The following is a 21,196-nucleotide window of genomic DNA, read 5'->3' as shown; positions in this document are numbered from 1 at the left end:
ACAAGAATTGCTTGAGCCTGGGAGGCCAAGGTTGCGGTGAGCCAAGATCGAGTCACTGCACTCCAGCCTGGGCCACAGAATGAGACCTTGTCTTGGAAGAAAAGAAAGAAAGAAAGAAAGAAAGAAAGAAAGAAAGAAAGAAAGAAAGAAAGAAAGAAAGAAAGAAGGAAGGAAGGAAGGAAGGAAGGAAGGAAGGAAGGAAGGAAGGAAGGAAGGAAGGAAGGAAGGAAGGAAGGAAGGAAGGAAGGGAGAGAGAGAGAAAGAGAGAAAGAAAGGAAAGAAAGAAAGAAAGAAAGAAAAAGAAAGAAAGAGAGAGAAAGGAAGGAGGGAGGGAGGGAGGGAAGGAGGGAGGGAAGGGAGTTGCTAAGACCATCTTCTAGTTGTCATGGTGAGAAACCATAAGAACCTGACCTAAGACAGAGGCAGTGGGAATGGTGAGAGACAGATGCACGTAAAATTGAATGTAGACTAGAGTTGGTGATTGAATAGGTATAGGAAATGATAGAGAAAGAGGAGACAAGGGTGACTCTCAACTTTCCGGCTTGGAATATTGATAGGAAGAGGCACTTTTTATTGCATAGAGAATATGGAAGAAGGGGCAAGGGACCGGGAGAGGGATCAGATCCAGTACCAAGACATACGCCCTGACCTACTGCACACATGCAAGAAATGGCTAGAGAAAATAACAAGGACTCAGGACAGGAAACAAAGGGCTGGCTGCAGAAAGAAGGGGCTGTGTCAATGAGACATTGTCTGTCTAAGATACTAGACAGGGGACTCCAGGCTGCTGCTTCTGCCTGCATGAAAGGTGGGGCCCACACCTGCTGCAACCTGACCACGCAGACCACATATGAGGAAAGGAGGCCAAAGCTGGGCCAAAGAGGGTGTCATCATCAGTGAACGCATCCCTGGGGTGCCTGCTGCCAAAGGAGATAGCAGAGGGTGACACTTGGGGAAGTGGGGCCTCGGGGCCAGAATCTGAAGGAAAGCAATGCGCCGCACTAGAGAGCATGGGCAGCAGCACGCAGTGGGGAGGCAAGCTGAGCAGTGCAAGGCAAAGACGCCGCAGAGGACAAACTGCCCAGCCAGGATTCCCCGCACTGCGGACTGGGACGCTCTGCTGGACTGAGGTGGGGCCTCGCAGAGGCTGAAATGAGCCAGAACGCTGGGACACAAATCAAATCCCTCCATGCTGAAGGGTCCATGGTGTTGACTGCTGGCTACTTTCTGTCACCACCACCTAAGGAATCTTGGGTGGTCAGTTTCCCAAAGATCAAGACTGTGACACCATGGTCTTTCTTTCTCTCTTTCTTTCTTTTTTCTTTTTCTCTCTCTTTCTTTCTTTTGCTTTCTTTCTTTTTTCTTCCTTTCTCTCTTTCTTCTTTCTTTCTCTCTCTTTCTTTCTTCTTTCTTTCTCTTTCTCCTTTCTTTCTCTTTCTTTCTTTCCTTCCTTCCTTTCTTTTTAAAGCAAATCATAACCTTTTAGATCAAGTTACTGAAAACTTCTTTATATAAGTTTACATTTCTCTTTCTAATTGCATCTTTATCACGACACTCAATTCTATTTTTTTTTTTTTTTTTTTTTTTTTTTTGAAACAGAGTCTCGCTCTATCACCCAGGCTGGTCGCAGTGGTGCGATCTTGGCTCACTACAACCTCCCAGGTTCTGGTGATTCTCCTGCCTCAGCCTCCCAAGTACCTGGGACTACAAGCATGTGCCAACACGCCTGGCTAATTTTTTGTATTTTTAGTAGAGATGGGTTTCACCACGTTGGCCAGGCTGGTCTCAAACTCCTGGCCTCAGGTGATCCACCCACCTCGGCCTCCAAAAGTGCTGGGATTGCAGGCGTGAACCACCATGCCCCACTTCAATTCTCATTTTATTTAAAGATTCTTCCTTGGCTATGGAGACCCATCACACTTCTGACTCTCTCTCCTGATTCTGTGTGTGTGTGTGTGTGTATGTGTGTGTTTGTTTTATTTTAAGTTCAGGGATGCACATGCAGGTTTGTTACATACGTAAACTTGTGTCATGGGGGTTTGGTGTACAAGTGATTTCATCACCCAGGTATTAAGTCTAGTACCCATTAGTTATTTTTCCTGATTCTCTCCCCGTTTCCACTCACCATGGCCTTTCTTATCCTACCTTTCCCATTAGTATTTCAACTCCATAGTGAGAGTTCAGGCATAACACATATTGTTAGTCAAATCAGTGATTTATTTATTCATCAAATAGCTATTATGCTTCACTATATGTCAAGCATTGTGATTATCACTGGAGATACACTGGTAGCTAACACAGATAGTGGAATATAAAACTGACCAATTCCATCCACATGACCATGGGTACGTCATTTCAACTGGGAACATCAATTTACCACCTAGGAAATGTCTAAGACCCTCCCAACTCAACCCCGTCCTACATCTCCCTTATATTATTCATTCAATGTATATAAATTAAGCACATGCTGTGCATGTAACTATATTTCAATCCAAGCAAAACACATGGCAAAGGGATAGTTCCTGGTTTGGGGATTGATAGAGAAAGTCTTACAAATATATAAACACTGAGATAGAATTATATATTCAATAAATCATCTTTATTATAAAGAACACAATAATAAGAGATAGAGACTAGGTCACGAGGCTCATCATGTTATAATCATCATGTGCTAGGATTTGGTTTAAATCAACCAACAAGACATGGTCTGGAGTTGGTTTACAATCTGAGAAGACACTCTAAAAAATCTACCATTATAGGAGTGTTGTGAGGATCAAATATAATAAGTTGTGGTACAGGACGTGTAGCGTGTGGTACCTAGAGTCAGACTACCTGGATTTGAATCCCTGCTCTGCTAGTCATCAGCTTTACGGCCTTCGGAAAATTGCTTAACCTCTATTTACTTTGGTTTCTTCACCTATTCAACTGAGAAAGTATACTGGTAACTAAATCATAGGGTTGTTTTGAAGACAGTTCAAACGTGAATCCCTATTATGGAAATCAGCACATGGTGATCACTCAATAAAAATTACATATTGTGAACTAAAATTTGTGTAGTTGCTAATCTATCATTAGCGTGAAATAAAAATTTGTTTCCAAACTCCCACATTGCCTTTATTAAACTATAAATTTCTTGAGAAAAAGAAACTAAAATAAAATCAACAGGGCATGGTCTAGATTTTTGAAGAGCAAATTACATAGATAACTAATTATAACACACGGTGCTGTAATGACAGAGATAGAAGATGTCCCTTATCAGAACACTGACTGATTCAGCAGTTTCCATTTCCTTTTCTCACTCTCCACAACTCACAGAAGCCAGCTCTCAGAAATGGAATCACGAGTATGGAGGGGGTTCCCCTAAGAAGTGAGTGAGGGAATGCAATTCTGGGTATCACTGAGAGCTGGGAGGCAGAGGGTGGGGTGAGAAGGAGGCATTGCCTGTGATGTAGGTTTCTAATGATACAAGTGGCAGAGATACCTTTATTTGGAATTGGTAGCAATAGGGGAAGATACATGGATGCCAAAGCTCCGGTGAAACCTACCACGGCCCCTGATCTTGCTTCTGCTTCTCCTCCCTCAAGACTGGCACTAGCCATCATTGGGGTGGGAAGGAAACAGAGCCCATGTGTATTAAAAGACCTAAGTCTACAGACACTTAGAAAGGACAGAATTCCAAAGGCATGGTCGCACTTGGCTTCTGTCCTCTGTTATTCTCCAGCATCAAATGTATCAACTCTAACCCCTTTGGGGGGAATACAAGGCCTGTCCTGGTTTGGTCCCAATTTAGCTTTATCATCCATATTCACCCCCACTGCTCTGCAGCTCCACTGAAGCACCCCCTCTTTCCTCTGAACCCACAATGTCACACTCAGGACTCTGCCTCAGCTGGGCACTCATCTATAGATGCCTAAATCCCGGGCAGTTATCCAGACACAACTAAAGTTCCATCCCTTCCATGAAGCCTTCCCCAACCCTCTGGTGGAAGGTCACTTCTTCCCCTCGTGGGATTCTGAGCTTTCATTTCTTTTTCTACTAGGAGTCCTAGCACTTTCGGCTAAATGCTACAATTACCTGTTCATACACTCTACCTGCCCCCACGAGATCAGGGGCATCTCAGAAACAAAGATCATTAAAACCAACTAAATCTATTTCTCATTATAAAATGAGGTATGCTGATTGATTGTGAAAGAATAAAATAACAAAGTATGGAAAAGAAAAAAAAGCATATAATCTGGCTGAGAAGGTAGAGACCCTTCCACACCACTGAAATTATGTATTGAAAAGAATAAGTAAAAAACTGCTTCAATTTGGCATGATTTATGTAAGTATAGTATAGGATCCTTAAAATGGTTCAAAGAAATGGGAAATCAAGACTTCATTTTGGCCAAAACCATTGAACAGAAACTTCAGCATATTTATCAATAATTTCTTTCAGATTAAACAACTGACAACAACCTATTTTTCAACCAGTGATGTTGGAAATGTTTTTTTAAAAATTAGTTTATAAATTTGTGGGCTGACCAAGAAGGTAATAAAGTCTAACTAAGTAAAATGAGAAAAATTCAGAAAAAGAAAAAAATAAGAAAATAAATCACCCAGGGACCTATCACACAAATATAAGAACTATTCATTCTTTAAGGCATGTATTTCCAAGCCTTTGTATTTTTTTCCATGCTTAGGGTTGGCAAGGAATATATATATATTTGTACAAATATATATGTGTATATGTACAAATACATGTATATATAGTACAAATATATATATATATTTGTACAATTCTTCAGACTTTGTAGAATTTGTATAATGTCGTATCTTGCTTTTTTTAACCACTGATGTTATAAGCATATTTATGCCACTTCATTCATTTTAGAGACTTAATAATAAATGATCTAGTGGATAATTTATCATTCCCTGATGGAGAAAAATTTAGCTTTGTTTATTTTAGAGTTATAAACGATGCTGGGTCAGGTATCTTTATGTTTGAAGATGGCTCCATATTTGGGTTGTTTCCACAGAACTCTTTCCTAGAAATGCTTTTTCTAGGTTAATGGCTACAGATATTTCTAGGCACCTGACATATTGACACCCACCTCTAAAGTATTTTTATGATCCACAACTAGCGTTTAACACAGCGCCCTAGTCACTACATGACTAATAAATAGACAAATGACTGAAACATGACCTCATGCTTTCTATTCCTCCAGCTTTCATTCAGTTCTTTGCCTCTGGGAGGAGGAAGGGTTGTGCAGCCCTCCACAGCATCAGCCCATCAACCCTATCCCTGTGGTTATAGCAGCTGAGGAAGCAGAATTGCAGCTCTGTGGGAAGGAATGGGGCTGGAGAGTTCATGCACAGACCAGTTCTTATGAGAAGGGACTGACTAAGAATAGCCTTGGGTTGACATATACCCCTCTTCACACTCACAGGAGAAACCATTTCCCTATGAAACTATAACAAGTCATGAGTTGAGAGCTGAGAGTTAGAGAATAGCTCAAAGATGCTATTCTTGGATATCCTGAGCCCCTGTGGTCACCAGGGACCCTGAGTTGTGCAACTTAGCATGACAGCATCACTACGCTTAAAAATTTCCCTCCTCACCCCCAGATTCCATTTCCCCATCCGCCAGGGCTGCCTATAAAGAGGAGAGCTGGTTTCAGACTTCAGAAGGACACGGGCAGCAGACAGTGGTCAGTCCTTTCTTGGCTCTGCTGACACTCGAGCCCACATTCCGTCACCTGCTCAGAATCATGCAGGTCTCCACTGCTGCCCTTGCTGTCCTCCTCTGCACCATGGCTCTCTGCAACCAGTTCTCTGCATCACGTGAGTCTGAGTTTCGTTGTGGGTATCACCACTCTCTGGCCATGGTTAGACCACATCAATCTTTTCTTGTGGCCTAAAAGCCCCCAAGAGAAAAGAGAACTTCTTAAAGGGCTGCCAAACATCTTGGTCTTTCTCTTTAAGACTTTTATTTTTATCTCTAGAAGGGGTCTTAGCCCCCTAGTCTCCAGGTATGAGAATCTAGGCAGGGGCAGGGGAGTTACAGTCCCTTTTACAGATAGAAAAACAGGGTTCGAAACGAATCAGTTAGCAAGAGGCAGAATCCAGGGCTGCTTACTTCCCAGTGGGGTATGTTGTTCACTCTCCAGCTCACTCTAGGTCTCCCAGGAGCTCTGTCCCTTGGATGTCTTATGAGAGATGTCCAAGGCTTCTCTTGGGTTGGGGTATGACTTCTTGAACCAGACAAAATTCCCTGAAGAGAACTGAGATAAGAGAACAGTCCGTTCAGGTATCTGGATCACACAGAGAAACAGAGAACCCACTATGAAGAGTCAAGGAGAAAGAAGGATACAGACAGAAACAAAGAGACATTTCTCAGCAAAAATGCCCAAATGCCTTCCAGTCACTTGGTCTGAGCAAGCCTGCCTTCCTCAACTGCTCGGGGATCAGAAGCTGCCTGGCCTTTTCTTCTGAGCTGTGACTCGGGCTCATTCTCTTCCTTTCTCCACAGTTGCTGCTGACACGCCGACCGCCTGCTGCTTCAGCTACACCTCCCGGCAGATTCCACAGAATTTCATAGCTGACTACTTTGAGACGAGCAGCCAGTGCTCCAAGCCCGGTGTCATGTAAGTGCCAGTCTTCCTGCTCACCTCTATGGAGGTAGGGAGGGTCAGGGTTGGGGCAGAGACAGGCCAGAAGGCTATCCTGGAAAGGCCCAGCCTTCAGGAGCCTATCGGGGATACAGGACGCAGGGCTCCGAGGTGTGACCTGACTTGGAGCTGGAGTGAGGCATGTGTTACAGAGTCAGGAAGGGCTGCCCCAGCCCAGAGGAAAGGGACAGGAAGAAGGAGGCAGCGGGACACTCTGAGGGCCACCCCTACTGAGTCACTGAGAGAAGCTCTCTAGACAGAGATAGGCAGGGGGCCCCTGAAAGAGGAGCAAGCCCTGAGCTGCCCAGGACAGAGAGCAGAATGGTGGGGCCATGGTGGGCCCAGGATTCCCCTGCTGGATTCCCCAGTGCTTAACTCTTCCTCCCTTCTCCACAGCTTCCTAACCAAGCGAAGCCGGCAGGTCTGTGCTGACCCCAGTGAGGAGTGGGTCCAGAAATATGTCAGCGACCTGGAGCTGAGTGCCTGAGGGGTCCAGAAGCTTCGAGGCCCAGCGACCTCGGTGGGCCCAGTGGGGAGGAGCAGGAGCCTGAGCCTTGGGAACATGCGTGTGACCTCCACAGCTACCTCTTCTATGGACTGGTTGTTGCCAAACAGCCACACTGTGGGACTCTTCTTAACTTAAATTTTAATTTATTTATACTATTTAGTTTTTGTAATTTATTTTCGATTTCACAGTGTGTTTGTGATTGTTTGCTCTGAGAGTTCCCCTGTCCCCTCCCCCTTCCCTCACACCGCGTCTGGTGACAACCGAGTGGCTGTCATCAGCCTGTGTAGGCAGTCATGGCACCAAAGCCACCAGACTGACAAATGTGTATCGGATGCTTTTGTTCAGGGCTGTGATCGGCCTGGGGAAATAATAAAGATGCTCTTTTAAAAGGTAAACCAGTATTGAGTTTGGTTTTGTTTTTCTGGCAAATCAAAATCACTGGTTAAGAGGAATCATAGGCAAAGATTAGGAAGAGGTGAAATGGAGGGAAATTGGGAGAGATGGGGAGGGCTACCACAGAGTTATCCACTTTACAACGGAGACACAGTTCTGGAACATTGAAACTACGAATATGTTATAACTCAAATCATAACATGCATGCTCTAGGAGAATTCACTACTCGAATGGCCACCATTAAGCATAGTATTCTGTAGGGCATATTCATGATGAATCAAGCTCTTAATAGCAATTATTTACATTGTTGAGGCTTACTCCTCCTACTGAGCGCTTTTTATACATTGCTCATTTAATCTTACCAATGCAATAGTACAGCTTAGGTACTATTAATACCTCCACTTGACAGAAAAGTAACCCAGGGCTCAGAAAGGTTAGACAACTTGGCTGAGGTTACACAGCACGTAAACGGTCAATTGTGTTCCAAAACTGGACTTTTATTGAACTACAGACTATGCTGTTAACCATTGACCAAGTTATTTCCCAAAGTATGACCCGCCTATACTCAAATCTTACCCCATTCTTTAACAGATGATACTTTATCCATTGCAACCACTTCCTGTCAGGATTCTGAGTTGACATAGAGTGTTTGAGCAGTGATTGTTGAAGCCACTTAAATAGGATCTTTAAGTGTAGACCTGGGAACTGATATTTTTATCAAGCTCATGAGGTGTTCCATAGCATGTTAATGACTGAGAGCCACTGTCAATAGAATTCACCACTGTTTTCTAAATGTGGTAAGTCTCTGCATATGGCAACAGGTGTATTATACATTATTTCTCTAGAATCTACACTCTACAAAATAAATAGCTAATGTTAGAGAAGGAAAAGACAATCAGCTTCTGTGTGGAGCAGGATGCTGTCTATAGGTTTACTGTGAAAGGTAAGTTATTTAATAGATGGATTGTTTGCATTATCTGTACAAGAAATCCATACTAAGCTAGGGTCCTTTTTGCAGAAGAAAGAGAAATTCAAAATATTTGTGTGAAAACCAAACGTGTTAATTTTTACGAGCTATGCTTATTTCATTTTGTTTCAAATAATCTATTTTTTGTGTCCAAACATGTTTAGAATTGTAGTGTTCCAACTCTTTAAAGCATAAACACTACTACTTAGCAAATATTAAAATGCATATACTATGTGAACTACATCCCATTTGACCTGATCCCATTTCTAGGAATCTGCTTCATAGAAACACTGCCAAAAGATAAGATATGTAGACATGAGGATATTCTTTGCAGTGTGGTTGGCAAACAGCAAAGAAATGCAAACAGTCATCAGTAGGGGATTAATCAGTAGAGGATTAAGATGTCCATCAGTGGAATATTCTGAAGTCAGTAAAAAAAAAGTAGCACACATCTATAACTGTGGAAAGTGTCCATAATATTATATGTAAAAGGCAGACCTAATTACATTCAGTATATGCATATATATTCTCTACATATGCTATGGAACTATCTGTAAAGTATATTATTTTGTTTTATTTTTAAATGCCATATATACATATATATTTACATAGGCAAATATTTGGAAAGATACACATCAAATAGCTAACTGATTTCTTTGAGGAAATGAGGCTTTTTTTTTTTTTTAGGAATGAGGGTTTTTCCTTTTTATATTCTGCACTTTTAAAACTTTGAGTTATTTTCTGATTAGCTTGCATAGCTTACCTCTCTGGTCTCATCTTACCCTATTCTTTGATGGGTGATATTCCATCCATCACAACCACTTTCTGGTAGGGATTCTGAGTTGATGCAGAGAGGATAGAGCTCAACCTGGCTTATACTGTTTTGATGCCATGATGGCTTTCATATAATGAGGGTACAGCAACAAACACGTCTTTTTGACAAGGCTGTTTCTCTCTCTCTCTCTCTCTCTCACACACACACACGCACACACACACACACACACACACACACACACACACAAGCAGCTTTTGTCCCCATAGACGCAGTGAAGGTGTCATCATTCCTTCTTTATTGGCTTTCAGGAAAAAATATAGGGGCATACAATATTTGCCTGCACTGAATTGTTTCTCAAGGTCTAGAAACCCAAAGCTAAACGAAGTTTAATCATGCCCAACATTCCCTAAATACAAGTGTTATGAACAAACAGTAAGTTGAACAAAGACCCCTGATAGGGAACTGGAGAATGGGTACTGCATTTTTAAGCAGTTCAGCTGATCTGGCAGTCCCTAGCTCTCCTCCCTGGGAGAATGTCCTCTATGGACAATCTGAGATGTGCAATGTGGAGGATCTGCTTTCTGGAGGCTGCTGACTTCCTGTCTGTGTGAGTTAGCCTGAGGTTGCCTTAGGTATTGTGCAATCAGCAACTTTTTGGAACCAGTCTTATGGTTTCTTTGGCAATGTGACTCCCTTCTAATGTCTGTAGGCTACTATTTGCTTCTGATCAATTCCATGGGCCAGGTAGCCAGAAGCAGACAGGTTGTCAGTTACATAGTTTGCATTTGCATTTTAACTGGGGTTGGGGATGTGCATTTTCTTTTTTCTTTTTTTTTTTTTTTTTTTGAGATGGAGTCTCCCACTATCACCCAGGCTAGAGTGCAGTGGCGTGATCGCGGCTCACTGTAACCTCCGCCTTCCGGGTTCAAGCGATTCTCCTGCCTCAGCCTCCCAAGTAGCTGAATTACAGGTGCCCGCCACCACACCCAGCTAAGTTTTTATATTTTTAGTAGAGATAGGGTTTCACCATGTTGGCCAGGCTGGCCTCTAACTCCTGACCTCATGATCCGCCAGCATTGGCCTCCCAAAGTGCTGAGCTTACAGGCGTGAGCCACTGCGCCCAGCTGGGGATGTGCACTTTCTAGCACAGACTGCACTACCATTGTCACCCCGACCTCCCAGCCCCTGGTGAGAGACCTCTGCCTGCATCTTGGCCCATGTGGAGGTGATGAATATTTGACGCTTGGCCTCATTATGTCTCTCATCTTCCTGTCTCTGCTCATGCTAACTTTATCTTAGAGTAGAAAATCCTGCATTTACAGCCCTTTCAGTCTTCAGATTACTGGATTCTCAGTCAACAGGCTGGAAGGGCCTTTTTAGCAAGTCGCATTTCTTCTTTTTCAATTTCAGATGAGCCCATTTCAAAGTAGCCTAAACTCTTTCTTAAAGGACCTTACTGATATAATACACAGCAACTAAATTCCAATATTCAGAATCTTTTCTAACAAATTCCTTAATGCTGCAGCCTTGGTATTTGGCACAGGCTTTTAGCACCAAAATAAGACAGACCATAGTTCAACCAGCACGTGCAATACCTTGTAATGGGTATGGCAAAAGGTAGTGCCCAGACAGGACAGCATGGTGAATATCACCTGGGAACTTGGGAGAAAGGCATATTCTGAGCCCCACTTCCTTTCTTAATAGACTAGGGCCCAGCAACCTGTGTTTTCACAAGGCTCCAGGTAATTCTGATGCATGTAAGGTTTAAAACTCACTTCCATTTCACAAGGTCCTCACCAAATTACCTCCTACTTTCTCATTTCAGCCAGTTCCACACTTCAGTCAGGGCCTGTGACTTTTAACAAACCCTGTGTCTCTGCACAGATGCAGATCTCGTATCTCTCAGGATGCTGGCAGTTTCCAGGCAGAAAGCAAACAAGCAAACCAAACTCAAAGAGGCTTTGAGTAAATGCACCTTGTGGCTCCAAGACTATAGGGCATCGAGGTGGCCCTAGCTCCAGGCAAGGCTGGACGCAGCGGCCCTGTGGTATCTCATGAGTCCTCTTTGCTTCTCTTTCTGATCTCCCTTTCCTGTGAGAGGCCCTGGGTGGCTGCCAGTACCTGCCAGTGTACATGAATCCTTGTTCATTTTCTGCAGGGAAGAGTGAGTCTGTGTTCCCATTGGAAAAAACATCACTAGGCCCTTTTGGATTTGACTGACTTAGGAACCGAATTCCTAACCAGTCGCTGTGGTTATGGGGATGGGTTTCATTGATTTGCTTAAGTTAATCAAGGCACATAACTTGAATCTTTGGGTTTACTGAATTTTACATAAACTTAAAGCCTGAGAATGGTGGGGAAGGGGGTTTGCCCTGAAGAAATGTGAGTTTCTGGCATCAGGGAACATGCAGAATAGATGCTGGTCAGGAAAAACAAGTTTTCACTATAATGTGTTTGTCTTTTTCCTGTTATTTTTGTCTTGATGATATAAAAGGCACTAATACTTTGTGTGTGGTAAACATTTCTTCTCCTATGCTCTCTAGATTAGAAACTATTAGTCGTCCACTTTCCTGAATGACTTTATTTTTAATGAGATGCTGACTTGTGTTATTTCCAGTTGCCCAATGAATGACTATTGCCCAAATCTAGGGCAAAAGAGACATAAACTCTTCATGATGTCAAGGTAACCACTAGAAAATGGGGCTACATACCCACTCCAGAACATACTGAGAAAGGTAGAACTGGCCCTGCCATAAGCACTACCCACCTTCCTTCATAGAAGCCAAAGATCGGGCACTGAGGATGCAGGAGGAGATGAGACAATTCTTAGAACAATGAGTCCTCAATAGAAATTGTCCATATTAAGGAACAGAAGGGAGTCCTTTCATAGTGGATGGACAAAGGGGTAGACAAGGAGACTGCAAGCGAAGGAGACACTTCATACTTGCCGTTTTTATTCCTCCTCTTTCCTGGGAACTGCACCCACAAAAATACATTATGTGGGATTGACCACATCCCAAATGCTAGGTGGCTCCTGATTAAAATAAGCTGATTTGCATCTTGAGTTTTTTAAGCTTACCATAACATAAGCATTTCTCATGTCACTGCATTGTTTGTAAAGGCTGCCTAATAGCCAATCAAGGGAAGATCCCATAATTTTCTTAGCCATTTCCATATCATAGGCAATTTAAATTGGGTCCAATTTTAAGTTGCTATAAATATGCTGGGGACCAAATACACTTATGCATTGTTCATTTTTTCCATATTTGAATTTATTTCTATGGAGAATAGATTCCTAGACATGGACCCTCTTGGCCAAAGGCTAAGAACATTTATTTCAAGGTTCCTTATGCATATTAGCACCCATATTAAACACATCTTTAGGTCCTTGGCTTAGCGCATATCTCTCTTGAATGAACAGATGTCTGAAAGCCTGGCTGTACTCTCATCGCTCAGTAGCTCAGGCTTTGCTAATACAGCTCTGTCCATCTGTGTGTGATTGAAGTTGGGCTGTGCTGCTCAGGACTCCTGGCATCATTGCATAAGTCAAGTCTACACCGTTAGAACAGCTGTGGGATAACAGAGAAGTTTCTGCTCTGCCAGGGAAAATATGACTACAGAGCTTTAGTGAGAAGGAAGTAGCTAAGTGTGGTCTGGGGTAACACCAATATCTCACCTCCTGTTGCTGTGGAAACCACTTCCCCACAAACAGCCCCAAGACAAGTGAGCACTTGAACTGTTCCTGCAAATACCCTGAGCCCTGTGGTTACCCAAGACCCCCTTGCATGTGCAAGTCAACAAGACACCACGGTGCTTAAAAAACATCCTGTCTCATGAGCCCCGGTTTCCATCTTCCCATGACTCAGGGCTTACCTCTTTAGAGAAGGGGACACAGCTCAGACCCCACAGCTGGTGACTGAGTGCCCAAGTCCTATCCTCTTCTGCTCACACTCTTGGGCCCTCACGTCCTCCTCTCTCACGATGCCCCCCTGTTCCTGGGCCTCCTCTCACGAGTCAGTCTTTGTCCTGCCTTTTGCTGTTGTTCCCTGCACTCTCTGGCTGGGGTCAAACCACATCGCCAAAGTCCAGGGACAGAGGTACCCAAGTGAAACAGAGAACTTCCTAAGGGATTTTCAAAATGCCCTGGGCTATCTGTTCAGGAAGATTTTCTTCCCCAAAGTGTTTTCACTTTCTATTCTATAAACCTTAAAGGCAGGGTACGGTCTTGTCCTACTTAGTGAAGGAGAACATTGAGTAGGTTTCAATAAGGGGCAGAACCCAGCTACAATCGCTTCCTGGTGGCCAGCTGAGTCATAAAATTGCCACAGGTCTGCCTCACAGGTGATTTGCAGAGATGGCCTCTTGCTGGAAAAATTTCTTCTTAGACCATATTATGTTCCCCCAGTAGAGCTGGAATAAGAGGCAGACTATCTAACTAGCTGCAATTTCTACAGAGGGAGATGGAGGCCAAACCTAAGGCTCAAACAGAAATGGAAGGGAAAAGTGGGGAAACAAGAAATCCCCAACTTCCTGCTGGTTCTTCTCACCCCCAAATCTCCAACTTCCTGCCAGTTCTTCTCATCCCCAAATCATCCCCTGAACAGTGCTGTCTCCATCTACTTCCTTCTGATTTTATCACTGGGTAGAAGGAGTTGGCTCACTTGTCCCCAGTGAAAAATGACTCAGGGTCACGCTGCTCCTTCCCTCAGAATGCCCAGGTCCCCAAGCACCCAGGCATCTGCTGCTTTTCCTAGGACCCCCAGAAGCCCCCCTAGCAAAATGGTAAATGGCAATTATGAGACTCACTGCTGGTGCCAGGCGAGGGCTGGTGCTTCTGCCCATCTCTGGAGAGAAGCAGGACTTGGAGGGTGGCAGCCTGCAAGGGCACCAGTCGGTTTGAGGGCCATCCTGGGGACCCCAGGCCTTTGAGGTCCTATCTGGTGGTGGGACACAGGGAAGGGCCATAGAGGTGTTTTCTGGCCTGACCTGGGGTCTGCAGGGAACCAGGGAAGAGCTGCCCCTGGCAGAGGGAAGAGAGGAGGAAGTGTTAGCAGGAGGAGGCTGCCTGAGGAGACCGCCTGAGCCACTGAGGTAAAGTCTAGGGAGCTGAGGTTGGGCAAAGAATCTTGAACAAGTGGATAGGCCCTATGCTTGCCAAGACAGAGATGGGAAGGCAGCATGGGACCAGGAATTCCCTTGCTGATTCCTCAATTTTTATAACTGTCTCTTTTAACAGCTTCCAGAATGAAAGTGGCTGAGGCTGGCATGTCTGTGCCAACCCCACCAAGTTCTGGTGCCAAGTGCATCATTGATCTCAGAGTCAAATCCCTGAGTGACCTGGAAGCAACAAGACACTGTTACGTTTGTGGCAGATTAGGAAGCAGGGACCCAGGCCCTAGGGACGTCCCTTCAATTCCTGAACCTACCCCTACCCAAGCAACCACACTCTGGGACTCTTCTTAACATGCATTTCAACTTATCTAGACTATTTAATTTTTGTAATGTATTTCTATGCGTTCTTGACTGCTTGTCAGAAGGGACTTCACAACACCCTCTACGCCCCTTCCTCAGCCCCTCCAGTCACACAGCGGCTGACACATATTCAGGCACATGGCTATTCTTTGTGGCTCTCATACAAGGTGGGTGGCTACGTTCAGCTTTTTCTAGAGGACATTGTTCCAAAGCTGTCAACCAACAAATATTTATAGAACATTATTTACCATTTCTATGTTCAGCTATGTAAAATAATGAATTTGTTTTGAGTAAACCAGTCTTAAACTGTTGGTGATCCTATTGGCTTTGTTTTGTGACAAAGCAAGGTGGTGGGATGGGAGGGGAAGAGTAGAAAACTCTGAAGAGGGGAAGTCAACAGAAAGGAAATGACGGTAATGCCTCTCCCCAAATAATGAAACACTACTTTATAAAACAAGGATTATTTTATAAAATATTATGCACCCAGTGTATAATGCATATGCACTAGGTAAATTCATGCTTGATATATATATTCATGCATTTAAGTTTATTTTTCTCATGGGTCAAGCTCTCTTAAAAATTATTCATTGTCCTTCAAATTCTAACAATGTCTCCAAGGGCTAAGTATTATTAATATTCCCATTTGATAGAAGAGGAAATGTTGGCTCAGAGGGTTAAAACAACTTGTCCAAGGCCATGCAGCAAATAAATAGTGTAACTAATATGCAAACCTATGAGCATTCCAGAACCACCTGGGATGGTCGTTTAAAATGCTCACAAGAGAATTGGGTTTGGATGTGGGAATCTAGACTTTTACCAAACCCCTATGTGATATACATACAGACCAAAGACCAAAAACTACTGAATTTCTCAATAAAACTGGTTTTTGTTTTTTTGTTTGTTTGTTTGTTTGTGTTTTTGAGATGGAGTCTTACTTGGTCACCCAGGCTGGAGTGCAGTGGTGTGATGTCGGCTCACTGCAACCTCCACCTCCCAGGTTCCAGTGACCCTCCTGCCTCAGCCTCCCAAGTAGCTGGGATTACAGGTGCATGGCACTACACCCGGCTAATTTTTGTATTTTTAATAGAGACGGGTCTTCACCATGTTGGCCAGGCAGGTCTTGAACTCCTGACCGGAGAGATCCGCCTGCCTCAGGCTCCCAAAGTGCTGGGATTACAGGCATAAGCCACTGTGCCCGGCCTCAATAAGAATTTAACCACTCTTTTAAAAATAAGACACACATGGTAATAGACATCTTACCTGGGTATTATTTCCCTAGAATCCATGCTCCACAAAATCAGTGGTTAACATTAGAGAAAGGAAAGACAGTCAGCCAATATATACAACAAGACTTCTATTGTGAATGCAGAATTATTTGACGGATTGCCTAGATTGAGGTTAAGAAACTATGGTCCTCAGAACAAATCTAGCATGACCCTGTTTTGTAAATAAAGTTTGGTTGAAACACAGCCACTCCTGCCCTTTTACATATTATTTATTGCAGCTTTCCCAAGACAAAGGTGGAGTCACATTGTTCTAACAGAAATGATATAACCCACAAAGACACCAGTATTTACTATCTGGCCTTCTATAGAAAATGTGTGCTAACTTCTGGCCTGTTATGTTTTTAAGTATAAGAAAGTTAGACTGAGTCAGGATTCCTGCTGTAAAATGCAAGTGGGAGAAATTCAACATACTTGTGAGAAATGCAAGATATATTAACTTTTTGATAAGCCCTACTTACTTTGTGTGTTTAAAACAATCTATTTTTTAGTATCAAAAAGTGACATTTTGATAATCGGCATTTTTGAAGAGAAATTACACAGTCTGTAGAAAAATTTAAAATTTACATACTCTTCAATCTTATTTCTAGGAATCTATTTCAAGAAACACTATCTAAAGAAACAAAGGAGGGCCAGGTGCAGTGGTTCACTCCTATAATCCCTGCTCTTTGGGAGGCCAAGGCAGGTGGATAGCTTGAGGTCAGGAGTTGGAGACCAGACTGGCCAACACGGTGAAACCTCATCTCTACTAAAATACAAAAATTAGCCGGGCATGGTGGAAGGCGCCTGTAATCTCAGCTACTTGGGAGGCTGAGGCAGAAGAACTGCTTGAACCCAGGAGGCAGAGGTTTCAGTAAGCCGAGATGGCACCACCGCACTCCAGCCTGGGTGGCAGAGTGAGACTCTGTCTCAAAAAAAAAGACACAAAGTGTTGGCACATTGCTGTTGTTTGCAGCTCTGTTTGTAAAACAACCAATAGAAATAAATTCTTTAAAAGATGAATAGTTTAAACCATTGTGGTATAACCACATAATAAACACAAAATTACTGAAAAGAATGAAGTGGATATACATAGTGAAATGAAAGGTATCTAAGATATTAATGTAAAACTATGTATATAGAATATACATTCCATATGTGTATCTCTATACCAATATCTATATTACCACATATTTATTATATAACTGTACATATAATAATATTTTGCTTTGGTAAAAGCTATATATATTTACATAAACATAAGAAGGACATTTGATGTGTGTGATATATCCCAATCTATTAAATGTGATTTCCCTGGCAACCATAACTTTTAAGAAATGAGGATCTCCACTTTTCATTTTCCATTCTTTGTGCTTTGATTTTCATAAGTATGAGTATGTGATTTTTAACTCAAAAACCAAGATTTGAGAAGCTGGGGCCTTGCACTAAAAACTGGTTCTCTCTTAGTCCTCTTGAACCACTTGCTCTGGGTCCCTCATTGAGGGGACAAGCTTTGCAGATTTCAGTCTAGTTCAGAGAACTTCAGGAATGCTCGCTGCTGTTATGTTACCCATTCTATGAAGAGATCAAGGCAACAAACATGTCCTGTCTAGACCCAAAGAGTACATTTTGACTCTCTCTCTCTCTCTACACACACACACACACACACACACACACAAACACACCTGCATAAATAGCTTCTCTCATGCAACATTTTATATTCCCTTCCAATTTTGAGATATTCCTCCTCTAGCCCGTCATAGCAAACCAGCTAGGGCAAGTGTGGGGGCATTATCCGGAATCATGATAGTAGCCATCTCTGCCTTGATGAAGCCATAGAGTCTCATTCTTTCTTCCCCTAAGGCCTCTCAACATCTGATGACTGGCACCATTGGCCCATGAACTTTAAAATATTTCAAATAGATCTAGGATTTATTTCACATCTCAACAACATGAATATTGCATAAATCCTTCATATATTAGATGAATACTAAACTGACAGCCTATTATAATCGGGGGAAAGGAAAAGCAAAAGATTCTAATAGACTGCAAGTTCACATTGGCTAGGTCTCTTTCCTTGGTTAACCTCTTTTTTAAGAGTAAGTGGCAGACAAAGTAGGGTTCACTAAATAGTCCACATGTTCCCCTTCATGGCATTTGCATTGGGCTCTTGTGGCTAATTTTGGCCAATGAATTGTAAGATTAAGTGAAGCATGTCACTTCTGGACCAAGACAGTTAAAAGCAGTATGCCTTTTCTGTCTTCTTTCTCATTCCAGAATCTACAGCTACAGGATGGAAGCAGCCTGAATTCCTGAGTCACCACCTGGAGGAGAGCTGCTCTAGGATCAATACTGCTCAGAGTGTAGTTCATGGGTCAGCAGCATCAGGATCACCTGAAACCTCATTAGAAAGGCAGAATCTTGAGTCTTACCAAGACCTGTAGAATCAGAGTCTCAGGTGGAACCCAGGAATCTGTGTTTAGACAAGCCCACCAGTGGATTCTGATGCAACTAAATTGTGAGATCCAGTGATCTAGCCCACATCAGATTTTGTATGAGTGGAAAACTTTTACCTTGTTAGACCACTGGGAGTTTGTTTGTTATCTAGGTACAACCTATTCTATCCTTACTTATATATAGACTATAAACATAAAATGCTTAACTGTTCTCCAATCATCAGCTCCACCTTAACATCTTGGGGAGATCCTATCACGTTTTGGTCACATCCAGTTATTAAAATTCCTTCAGTTTAGAACCCTAATCTTAAATTTGACTTAACTAACATTTCTACTTCTTCCTTTCTCCTCGCCCTTCACCAGAGCAAAACAGGCTCTGGTAGTTGGAGTGTGATGAAGCTTTAGTTTGGTTCTGAGATACCCTCTCTCCTTCTCTTTTTAACTCCTCTGGCATGTTGGAAAGAGGGGTTGTCTGTGTGGGGTAATATAAAGAGAAAATTTTGCTGGTTGTGGTGGTTTGTACCTGTAATCCCAGTGCTTTGGGAGGCCAGGGCCAGAGGAACACTTGAGGCCAGGAGTTGGCGACCAGCCTGGGCAACACAGTGAGATCCTGTCTCTACAAAAAAAAAAAAAATTTAATTAGCAGGCATTGTAGTGTGCAGCTATAGTCCTAGCTACTCAGGAGGCTGAGGCAGGAGGATCGCTTGAGCCCAGAAGTTCTAGTCTGCAGTGAGCTGTGATCACACCACTGTACTCCAGCCTGGGTGACAGAGCAAGACCCTGTCTCTAAAAGAATTTTTTTTAATTTAAATGTTTAAAAGAGAGAGGGGAAAGAATTCTTTTAACTGCCTACAGATGTAGTCCCTGCCCCCACTGCTAGGTTATCCCTGCATCTTTTAAAAAAATATTGAAGTTATGGGCAATGCATGTATATTTCCCTCGGATAGATGGGCATTCCTGAGGGTCCTCTCTCTGCATAGTTTCTTAGGTGAGAGATCCCACCCTTGCCCAACATCTTTCACCTCTCTCTTCTGCTCACACCACTGGCAGCATACCCTGGGCCTTTGCTAGCCTGGAAGACACCATTGAGCATGTTACAAAAAAGCACCATGGAGCACACCTAGCCCTGTGTGAGTGCAAGACCTTACAGGTGATGGGCAGACTGGCTTTCAGCACCCTCTTGCCCACACATCCAGGGGCCTTTGTAGACAGCGGCCCTGAGACCACCCCATCAGCTACTGCTGTTAAGATCCTTGTAAGCTAAGCAGTGGATCTCCTATTGGTAGGATGAGCACTTTAAGACTCAAAGGGGTTACTATTAATAACTATGCTGGCACAACTGGCATAAACTGGGTCATTTCCCAGACAAAATGGGACATGTGATTCCCCCAACCTTTGCGGAGTGTCACTGGGAGGATGGCTCGAGCCCAGCTCCCTTCCACAGGATCACTCGGCCAATGGAAAGCTCATTCCATGTGGTGGGAGAGCAGCCTCCAGCAATCCTTTTCCCTGCTTTGGTTCCTATCTTCTGTTTTCTTCTCCCCTGCTCATTTTGGCTCAGGCAAATCATGAGGTTCACCATGTAAGCTGACATCCAACTGGAAAATGAGTTGCCTTGTTTGCAGGTACTTCCAGTTTGTACAAGTTACCCTCTGGAGACCCCTTCACTGGGCTTCAAGAGCAGTTAGAAGTAAAGACCTCTCCTTCACAAAGGTGGAACCCACTAGGCTGGCCACTTTCTTTCCTTTTCCTATGTCTACAATGCCCTGGAAGGATTGTCTGGCCCCAGTTGTTAGTGACTTAGTTTAGAATATAAAGTCTATAATGAAAACTTAGTCTCAGATTTGGGAACTAGCCATCATTTGTGGGGCAACAGGGTATATCCCGATCAAAATCTTTTTACAAAACCGGTAAAATAATTCAGGAAAGACCAGGCACAGTGGCTCACGCCTGTAATCCCAGCACTTTGGGAGGCCAAGGCGGGCAGATCACCTGAGATCAGGAGTTCGAGACCAGCCTGGCCAACATGGTGAAACCCCATCTCTACTAAAAATACAAAAATTAGCTGGGCGTGGTGGTGCGTGCCTGTAATCCCAGCTACTCAGGAGGCTGAGGCACAAGAATCACTTGAACCCAGGAGGCAGAGGTGGCAGTGAGCTGCGATCATGCCATTGCACTCCAGCCTGGGCGACAAGAACAAAAACTGTCTCAAAAAATAATAATAATAACAATAATAATTATTATTATACAGGAAAATACAGAATGGCAAAGGGGTATATTATTACTGCATTATTAATGTAAAAATTGAGTATAGTGTTGAATAAAGTGAGAAAATCCCTAAGACAACTGGCATATAACAGGAGAGTCTGAATTGAACCCCCAATTTGGGAAGAACATGCTTGATGTGATGTAATCACAGGCAGGGGATTGGTCATCTTCACATATAAAGACAGAATTAATATGAGAAAGTTACATACATTTGGTAGATACTAGTTGGGTTCCAAGGTCTTTCTCTCTTTCTTTCTCTTTTATCCTTACATGATTCTTCGGAAAAGCAACCCCTCTGGTAGTCTGTGTGGTTTTCAGCCCATCAACATTGCTTGTTATAGACATTGATCAGCTGAAACAAATCAGTAAATCCACTTCTCTGGCCACAAAGATGAATTAAGATACAGGTTGGCAAACTTGCTCTGTAAAGGACCAAATGGAAACT

At 43.1% G+C, this 21,196-nt stretch overlaps 1 protein-coding gene and 1 long non-coding RNA gene across 5 annotated transcripts; one reads left to right on the top strand and one right to left on the bottom strand.

Annotated features, from left to right (window-relative positions):
- On the top strand, window positions 5,666-7,553 carry CCL3 (C-C motif chemokine ligand 3). Of its 4 annotated transcripts, none has more exons than NM_002983.3 (3): window positions 5,666-5,823; window positions 6,512-6,626; window positions 7,047-7,553. In NM_002983.3, exons 1-3 carry the CDS (start codon window positions 5,751-5,753, stop codon window positions 7,135-7,137), a joined length of 279 nt encoding a protein of 92 aa, NP_002974.1. In that variant the 5' UTR covers window positions 5,666-5,750; the 3' UTR covers window positions 7,138-7,553. The 4 variants fall into 4 exon arrangements, 1 of the variants encoding a protein (NP_002974.1); NR_168495.1 differs by lacking the exon at window positions 5,666-5,823 and adding an exon at window positions 5,956-6,011; NR_168496.1 differs by lacking the exon at window positions 5,666-5,823 and adding an exon at window positions 6,111-6,129.
- Window positions 5,947-21,196, bottom strand: CCL3-AS1 (CCL3 antisense RNA 1). Its single transcript, NR_186417.1, has 3 exons — window positions 20,961-21,196; window positions 19,007-19,099; window positions 5,947-6,263 (listed from the first exon to the last, which is right to left on the bottom strand). It is a non-coding gene; the product is annotated as a CCL3 antisense RNA 1 (long non-coding RNA).

This window comes from Homo sapiens, chromosome 17, assembly GCF_000001405.40.
Source record: "Homo sapiens chromosome 17, GRCh38.p14 Primary Assembly".
In the NCBI taxonomy this organism is placed as follows: Eukaryota; Metazoa; Chordata; class Mammalia; order Primates; family Hominidae; genus Homo; species Homo sapiens.
Note: the sequence above shows the minus strand (reverse complement) of the source record. Positions and strands in the feature narration are given on the sequence as shown.